This window comes from Homo sapiens, chromosome 7, assembly GCF_000001405.40.
Source record: "Homo sapiens chromosome 7, GRCh38.p14 Primary Assembly".
NCBI lineage: Eukaryota > Metazoa > Chordata > Mammalia > Primates > Hominidae > Homo > Homo sapiens.
Window position 1 is genome coordinate 142,212,778 of NC_000007.14, and position 9,852 is coordinate 142,222,629.

Here is a 9,852-nt window from a genome sequence, read left to right on the forward strand (position 1 = left end):
AGACAGAAAATTAGCAAGGATATTCAGAACTTGAACTCAGCTCTGGACCAAGCAGATGTAATAGACATCTACAGAACTCTCCACCCTAAATCAACAGAATATACATTCTTCTCAGCACCAATAGCACTTATTCGAAAATCAACCACATAATTGGAAGTAATACGCTCCTCAGAAAATGAAAAAGAACAGAAATCATAACAAAGAGTCTCTCAGACCGCAGTGCAATCAAATTAGAATTCAGGATTAAGAAACTCACTCAAAACCACACAACTACAGGGAAACTGAACAACCTGCTCCTGGATGACTACTGAGTAAATAATGAAATTAAGGCAGAAATAAATAAGTTCTTTGAAACCAACAAAAACAAAGACACAACATATCAAAATCTCTGGGAGTTTTCAGAGGGAAATTTATAGCACTAAATGCCCACAGGAGAAAACAGGAAGGATCTAAAATCAACACCCTAACATCATAGTTAAAAGAGCTAGAGAAGCAAGGGCAAACAAGTTCAAAAGCTAGCAGAAGACAAAAAATAACTAAGATCAGAGCAGAACTGAAGGAGAGAGAGACACGAAATACCCTTCAAAAAAATCAGTGACTCCAGGAGCTGGTTTTTTGAAATGATTAACAGAATAGTTAGACCGCTAGCCAGACTAATAAAGAAAAAAAGAGAGAAGAATCAAATAGACACAATAAAAAATGGTAGAGAGGAGATCACCGCTGATCCCACAGAAATACAAACTACCATCAGAGAATACTATAAACACCTCTATGCAAATAAACTAGAAAATCTAGAAGAAATTGATAAATTCCTGGACACATACACCCTCTGAAGGTAAAACCAGGGAGAAGTTGAATCCCTGAGTAGACCAATAACAAGGTCTGAAATTGAGGCACTAAATTAAGAGCCTACCAACCAAAACAGCCCAGGACCAGACAGATTCACAGCCGAATTCTACCAGAAGTACAAAGAGGAACTGGTACCGTTCCTCCTGAAACTATTCCAAACAAGAGGGACTCTGCCCTAACTCATTTTATGAGGTCAGCATCATCCTGATACCAACACCTGGCAGAGACACAATAAAAAAAGAAAATTTCAGGCCAGTATCCCTGATGAACATCAATGCAAAAGTCCTCCATAAAATACTGGCAAACCGAATCCAGCAGCACATCAAAAAGCCATGACCAAGTTGGCTTCATCCTTGGGATGCAAGGCTGGTTCAACATATGCAAGTCAATAATTGCAATCCATCACATAAACAGAACCAATGACAAAAACCACATGATTATCTCAATAGATTCAGAAAAGGCCTTTGATAAAATTCAACACCCTTTCATGCTAAAAACACTCAATAAACTGGGTATTGATGGAACAAATATAAAAATAATATGAGCTATTTATGACAAACCAACAGCTAATATCATATTGAATAGGAAAAAGCTGGAAGCTTTCCCTTTGAAAACCGGCACAAGACAAGGATGCCCTCTCTCACCACTCCTATTCAGCATAGTATTGGAAGTTCTGGCCAGGGCAATCAGGAAAGAGAAAGAAATAAAGCTTATTCAAATAGGAAGAGAGGAAGCCAAATTATCTCTATTTGCAGATGATGTGATTGTATATTTAGAAAACCCCATTGTCTCAGCCGAAAATCTCATTAAGGTGATAAGCAACTTCAGCAAAGTCTCAGGATACAAAATCAATGTGCAAAAATCACAAGCATTTCGATACACCAATAATAGACAGCCAAATCATGAGCAAACTCCCACTCACAATTGCTACAAAGAGAAGAAGATACCTAGGAATACAACTTACAAGGGATGTGAAGGACCTCTTCAAGGAGAACTACAAACCACTACTCAAGGATATAAGAGAGGACACAAGCAAATGGAAAAACATTCCATGCTCATGGATAGGAAGAATCAGTATCGTGAAAATGGTCATACTTCCCAATGCAAATCAAAACCACAATGAGATATCATCTCATGCCAGTTAGAATGGCCATTATCAAAAAGTCAGGAAACAGCAGATGCTGGAGAGGATGTGGAGAAATAGGAATGCTTTTACACTGTCAGTGGGAGTGTAAATTAGTTCAACCATTGTGGAAGACAGTGTGGTGATTCCTCAAGGATCTAGAACCAGAAATACCATTTCACCCAGCAATCCCATTACTGGGTATATACCCAAAGGGTTATAAATCATTCTGCTATAAAGAAACAGGCACAAGTCTGTTTACTGCAGCACTGTTCACAATAGCAAAGACTTAGAACCAACCCAAATGCCCATCAGTGTTAGACCAGATAAAGAAAATGTGGCACATATATACCATGGAATAGTATGCAGCCATAAAAAAGAATGAGTTCATGCCCTTTTCAGGCTCATGGATGAAGCTGGAAACCATCACACTCAGCAAACTAACACAGGAACAGAAAACCAAACACTGCATGTTGTCACTCATATGTGGGAGTTGAATAATGAGAACATATGGGCACAGAGAGGGGAACTTCACACACCAGGGCCTGTTGGGGGTGGAGGGCAAGGAGACAGATAGCATTAGGAGAAATCCCTAATGTAGATGACGGGTTGATGGGTTGATGGATGCAGCAAACCACCATGGCACATGTATACCTATGTAACAAACCTGCATGTTCTGCACATGTATCCCAGAACTTAAAGTATAATTAAAAAAAAAAAAAAACATTTGGCTGAGCGTGGTGGCTCATGCCTGTAATGCCAGCACTTTGGGAAGCCAAGGCAGGTGGATCACCTGAGGTCGGGAGTTTGAGACCAGCCTGACCAACATGGAGAAAACCCTGTCTCTACTCAAAATCCAAAAATTAGGCGTGGTGGCGCATGCCTGTAATCCCCACTACTTGGGAGGCTGAGGCGGGAGAATCGCTTGAACCTGGGAGGCAGAGGTTGTGGTGAGCCGAGATCGCGCCATTGCACTCCAGCCTGGGTAGCAAGAGCGAAACTCTGTCTCAAAAAAAAAAAAAAAAAAACCTCATGAATAATTTTATATTGAAAAATGTTGTAATAATAACATTTTGGCTATATCATGTAAATAAAATATATTTTGAAATTAATGTACCCTTTTTCTTTTCACTTTTTAAAAAAATGTGACTACTAGAAAGTATTCAATTACATATATAGTTTCCCTTATATTTCTATAAGATGGCATAGACTTCCATGTTGCCTACTACCTCTTTTTAGCTAGAGTCTATATTTTTTCTGCTGTTATTACATTGTGTTATTTTTTAACACATGTATCAGATGTTTGGCACATATAAATCTCATGGTCAGCTAAGACCTTCAAATTATTCTCATAGACATGATTATCAGGTCATATTGTTCCATCCTGCATTTGGCCTCTCTGAAACTAACTGCTAGACTTTGTATACTAATTAAATTTGTGTATTCTCTGCCCTTAAGAGTAGTTGGGTTGAAGACTCTACATATTTTTTCCTCTCAAATATTATTTTAATGAATATTATTTTAATGATCTGGAAGTCCTGAATTTTAGTTCTATTTCTACTGCTATTATTCAAATTCGGAGAGACACTGTTTAATCTGTGTTTTTTAAAAAATTGTAAAACATTAGATTGCCCTTTAATAACATCTAACTTCAAAATTCCATTTTTCTGATAAATGAATTCTTATTTCTGTGATGTTTGATAGATTATTTCCTTAAGAATAAGGGGCCTGAAATGAAAGAAAGATCGCAACTTTCCTTAGGGGATAACTATTATCAGCGGTTTCCTGGTTGGTAAACCAGCTTGTGGGGGTGGGAGATGATTTGTAACATTTGCTAATTTCTGTAGTGTAGCTTCTCCCACCATCTTAACCAATTTCAAGCATCAGCTGGCTTGCAAAATTCTAGGAAATTTAAAAATCAACTCTCTCAAATCAATAAGAACTAGCTTTAGTACACCCATTTATTTTGAGCTGTATATTTTTTCCTTGATTCTGCCTGCCCAGTAGCAAAAGTCTTGTTCATCCTTCATGATGCCAATTGAACATGTTTCTTTTTTCTCTTCCTACTGCAGCCATCATAATTGAGAAATGCATAGCTTCCCTCTGCTACAACTATCTCCTTGATTATTGCATGTAATCTTCAAAATCTTTCCTTACATACCTAACTGGCCTCACGTCTCTGTTTGCTCAGCACCAGCTATGGTTGTCCTTGCACTCCTCCATGAATGTGGCTTTGTTCAATGTGTCCCTGTACCCCTATTTCCTGTCTCATAATAAATCCTTCCCATGCTTACCAGGAGTTCCGAAGTTACATGTCCTTCCTAAGTTCTCTCTTGACCCTCTTCCTCCCATGTAATTTTTCCTTTCTCTTCACATCCATGAAAAATATCCACTATGATTTTCATTTGGGCCTTCATCATGTGCCACCTCATAATTTATGTCATATTATTTTAACCCTTGTATTGATACTTAAACAATTCATGATTTGGTTAACTTCCTATGTTTCTTGCACACTGTCCTCAGTCTAGGGACTGTTTGCCACACTTCTTTGTTCACTCTAAATTAACTTGTGCAGTACTATGTACAGGGGCACCTTGCGCTTCCAACTTTACCTATGTTATCTAGCCTTGTCGCTTTGGACTACTCACTTCATTTTCCAGAGCCTCAGTTTCCTTATCTCTAAGATAGCAATAATGATATTTTCTTTTCAAAATGATTATAAGAATACTTATGATATAGGGAAAATAACTTTCATAATGCTGGTACAATAAACTTATTTGTGGCATTACCCAATTTATTATAGCAGGTACTCAGGAAGTATGTCTTCATGAAGTGTGTGGAGAGTAGAATTATAGTAACCAGAGGCTGGGAAGGGGTGGGGGCCATAAAGAGAGGTTGGTTAGTGGGAACAAAGAGACAGTTAAATAGCAGGAGTGAGTTCTTGTGTTTGCTAACATACTAGGGTGATGATAGTTAACAACAATTTATTGTATATTTCAAAATAGCTAGAAGAGAATATTTGAAATGTTTCCAACACGAAGAAATGATGAATGTGGCTAGGTGTGGTGGCTCACACCTGTAATCCCATCACTTTGGGAGGCCGAGGCAGGAGGATCACGTGGTCAGGGATTTGAGACCAGCCTGGCCAACATAGTGAAACCCCGTCTCTATTAAAAATACAAAAATTAGCCGGGTATGGTGGCACACACCTATAGTCCCAGCTGCTTAGGAGGCTGAGGCAGGAGAATCGCTTAAACCCAGGAGGCGGAGGTTGCAGTGAGCCCAGACCACGCCATTGCACTCCAGCCTGGGTGACAGAGTGAGACTCCATCTCAAAACAAACAAACAAACAAACAAATGTTGACTATTTGAGGTCATGGATATCCTAAATACCCTGATTTGATCACTACACATTGTATACATGTATCAAAATATCACATGTTCTCCATAAATATGTATAATTATTATGTATCAATAAAAATTTAAATACATAAATAGAAATAGCAAACTAATATAACAAAAGTAAATTTAGGTTTGTTAATATTTTAATATGGACCATAGTCTATCAACAATATGTTATGTATTCTTTTCTCTTTATAAATTCTTTATAGAACATCCTGCAAATCCAGACCATACACAATAAGTATTTGAGTGACTCGAATCCACTAAAAGTTGGGTATATTAGAATCTGGGGTGTGAATACCTATGTGACACAAGTCAGTTTCACCTATGACAACCGGCAATTTATGGAGACAAATTTCAAGAGTGAACCTTATAATCAGGTAGGTCTGAAAGGAATATTAGCATATCACAAGTAAATTTTATCATTCTGCAAAATTATCACCAATAATTTTGCTAACAATTAAAATTATCATTGTTAAATTTTCATGTATTAGATGGTTATAAATACGTGCAATAGATATGTTCCTGAAAAGTTGCAAATGTTGAATCATATTGTAAAATATGCAACATTAATGGTCTTTCCAGTATGGCCTAGGGGTCAGTGATCACTGGCCTGATGAGATCCTCTCCATGTATTTACCAAAGAGACTGTGCTATGTTTTGATAGGTTAGTCTTCCACATTAGCAAAATAAAACTTATTTCTGCTGCAGAGGCTAAAACAAAGGAAAGGGTGATTCCCTAAAGCTGTTGAAGGTTGCCCCCATGCTTCCTGCAGTTATTCATGTCCCTGGTCAAATTGATGGATCTTATAGGTAGACGAAAATTGGCAGTAAACTGTGGTAATCTTCGAATGAATACATCCCACCTGTGGTATAGGATAAAAGGTTGATAAAACAGGGGGACATAAATAGCAGGCCCTACTAGAGGATTCTAGAATCAACTAAACCAGAATTTTGGAAGATGAAATACCAATAGTTACCAAAGGCAACCACAAAGAAAAAAGTATCTCACTTTTAGAACATAAGACAACATAAATACGGAACCAGCAACCCAAAAGGGATGGTTTAGAAAAGTGAAAATGGATAACCATAGTTCTTGTTTTCTAAAACGTGAAATGAGTGCCCTGATGGTATTTGGACTTTGGAAAATGGCCCCTCTGAGCACTCAAATAGATCTTCTCCCTCTAGGCTCTTCTGGGTATTTACCTTAAAGCATTTTACCTGGACTATTGAGTTCAAAACCACTCTTTGCAAGTAATTGCTTCTAGTTAAGATTGTGCAGAAAATCCTTGAATACCTTCTTTTTAAAAACTCTATGGCATATCTGATGCCTATTATGTGCCAGACACCATACTGTTTGAAATGAGGAAAACATGAAACTAACCTGCTGTCAAGAGGACTAAAACCCAATGGCAAAGCAAAGAGATTTTAATAAATGTTGGTTTTAATCACAGCTACAAATATTTGTAAACAATAAGGTTCTGACTAAATGAAGTGAAAAGAAAAGATTTCCAGCATAGGGATTATGCACACAGAGCATCTCTCTGTATTTATCTGACCAAAATCAACATGACCTAACCCAAAAAGGAATGTTTATATCCTATTACTGGAAAGGAATGAATCCATCATTTTTTGTTAAATTGTAATTTAAGAGGTGAGCTACATGTGAGGTTTAAGAAGTTCTAAAATACCCATTTATATCTCTTCTTTTCTGGCAGATACTAACTATTCAATTGACTGACAAGACTATCAACCTGGAAAAGTTAACTGAGGTTACTTGGATTGATGGTGGTCCTGTACTTCCTACTCCAACTAAGACAAGTACCATCCCAATGAGTTCTCATCCTTCTCCATCTACTACCAATGCCACCAGTTCTGAGACAATCACCAGTTCTGCCAGTGCAAATACTACCACTGGCACTACTGATACTGTTCCTATCACAACCACATCTTTCCCAAGTACTACTAGTGTTACAACTAATACTACTGTTCCTGATACAACTTCTCCTTTCCCTACAAGTACTACTAATGCTAGCACTAATGCTACTGTTCCTATCACAACCACACCTTTCCCAACAAGTACTATTGGTGTTACAACTAATGCTACTGTTCCCAATACAACTGCCCCTTTCCCAACAAATGCTAGTACTGCTAGCACTAATGCTACTGTTCCTATCACAACCACATGTTTTGCAACAAGTACTATTGGTGTTACAACTAATGCTACTGTTCCCGATACAACTGCCCCTTTCCCAACAAATACTACTACTGCTAGCACTAATGCTACTATTCCTATCACAACCACACCTTTTGCAACAAGTACTATTAGTGTTACAACTAGTACTACTGTTCCTGATACAACTGCTCCTTTCCCTACAAGTACTACTAGTGCTAGCACTAATGCTACCCCTGTTCCTATCACAACCACACTTTTTGCAACAAGTACTATTGGTGTTACAACTGGTACTACTGTTCCTGATACAACTGCTCCTTTCCCTACAAGTACTACTAGTACTAGCACTAGTGCTACTGTTCCTATTACAACCACACCTTCCCCTACAAATACTGCTGATGCTAACACTAGTAATACTGTTCCTAATACCACTATGCCTTCTCCTACAAGTAGTACTACTGTGAGTACTATTGCTACCGTTCCCATTTCAGTGACTCCTTCTCTGACAAGTACTGCTGATGCCACCATTAGTACTACTGTACTTATTGCCACTACTTCTTCTCTAACAGGTACTACTGATGTTAGCACTAGTACTACTATTAATAATATAAGTACTCCTGTTCAAACAAATACTACTAATGCTAGCACTAGTACTAATGTTGCTAATATAACTGCTACCTCTCATACAAGTACTGATGATACTGTTCCTAATAATACTGTTCCAGTTACAGCTATTCCTTCTCTTGCAAATACTGGTGTTGACACTACTAGCAACAGTTTTTCCATTATGACCACTTCTTTCTCTGAAAGTACTAATGCTATGAACACTACTGTTATTATGGCAACTACTTCTCCTACAAGTACTGATGTTGCTAGCACAAATAATGATGCTTCTATGACAAATTTTCTTTTAGCTACAATGTCTGCTGGTAATATAACTAGTAATAGTATTTCCATAACAACTACTTCTTTTGGTAATAGTGTTCCTTTTGTGACTACTCCTTCTCCAAGTACTGATGCTACTACTACAAGTAATAATACTAATCCTGGCATGACTACTTATTACCAGACTTCTCCTACCATTCCTACCCATACTCTTACTTCTATTCCTAGCTCTATTACTTCTATTTTGAGCATGTTTCCAACAAGTAATACATTCACTACTGATAAAATTACTAATTTTACTACCCCTACAAATGCAAACACCATTATTTTCAACACTCTTGATACAAAAAGTACCATGGTAATAGATGCTACGGTCACTACTACCAGCACCAAAGATAATACCATGAGTCCAGATACAACAGTTACTTCCATAGACAAATTCACCACACACATCACACAGTTCGCTACTCCCCATTCTGCTACTACTACAACACTGGCCTTAAGCCACACCTCATTAGCTCCTACAAATCTTTCTAATCTAGGCACCATGGATATTACTGATGCAGATAACTCCAGCAGTGTTACAGGTAACACGACACACATTTCTGTTTCAAATCTCACAACAGCCTCAGTCACAATAACAGCCACTGGTCTAGATTCACAAACTCCCCATATGGTAATAAATTCTGTGGCTACTTATTTACCTATTACTGCAACTAGTGCTACCACAGATACTACAAATATTACAAAATATGCTTTAAATACTACCACTCCTGATAGTACAGTACATACCTCTGCTACTGCACCTACTTATATTGCAAATGCCATAAATGCTACTCAAGTTCCATGATTACTACTCAAGGCAGGATAGTTACCTCAGATAACGCCTACAAACAACTATTACAGATATAGAAAATCAGTTACGAGACACTCTATCTATCTTATGCTACTTAAGTTTTCACGGATATTAGTACTCTAGCCATAAAAGACACAGCTACTCCAAACACTCTCGTCATTGCAGACATGTTTAGGAAGGTTTACAAACCTTATAGGTTTCACCAAAGAAGCTGTGGGTACTTATTTTGCAACCATAGTATGTGCTCTTATTCTTTTAAATTATAGTTATTACTCCTATAACCTCATCAGTTAAACTACAGATGTTTTATATATCCTATATATCCTTGCTACAGATTTCACAGGTAATTTTGGTATCTCAGATAACACCACATTAGGCTCTGTAAATACTATTGCCTTAGATTTAGTTACTGAAATAGCCCAACTTGTTTCTTGGGTCACATGACGTACCATAACTGAGAGTACTGGTGATACCCCCAGCACTCAAATGGTTTCTATACCAACAGTTATTGATATTACAGGAGAGTATGTAATTAGTAATGCTAAAAAAATGCACTTTATTATC

The 9,852-nt window shown here is 37.6% G+C and overlaps 1 protein-coding gene across 5 annotated transcripts in view; it reads left to right on the forward strand.

The window, feature by feature from the left end:
* MGAM2 (maltase-glucoamylase 2 (putative)) overlaps window positions 1–9,547 on the forward strand; it is a 110,607-nt gene extending 101,060 nt beyond the window's left edge. For 4 of the 5 annotated variants that reach the window (NM_001293626.2, XM_011516692.3, XM_011516693.3 and 1 more), the window contains 2 exons: window positions 5,584–5,754; window positions 7,093–9,547. In NM_001293626.2, coding sequence (NP_001280555.1) covers window positions 5,584–5,754; window positions 7,093–9,282 — 2,361 coding nt within the window. In that variant the 3' untranslated portion in view covers window positions 9,283–9,547. Of the gene's footprint in view, window positions 1–5,583; window positions 5,755–7,092 lie in introns of those variants that run through there. The other variant, XR_927547.3, reaches the window with a different exon arrangement.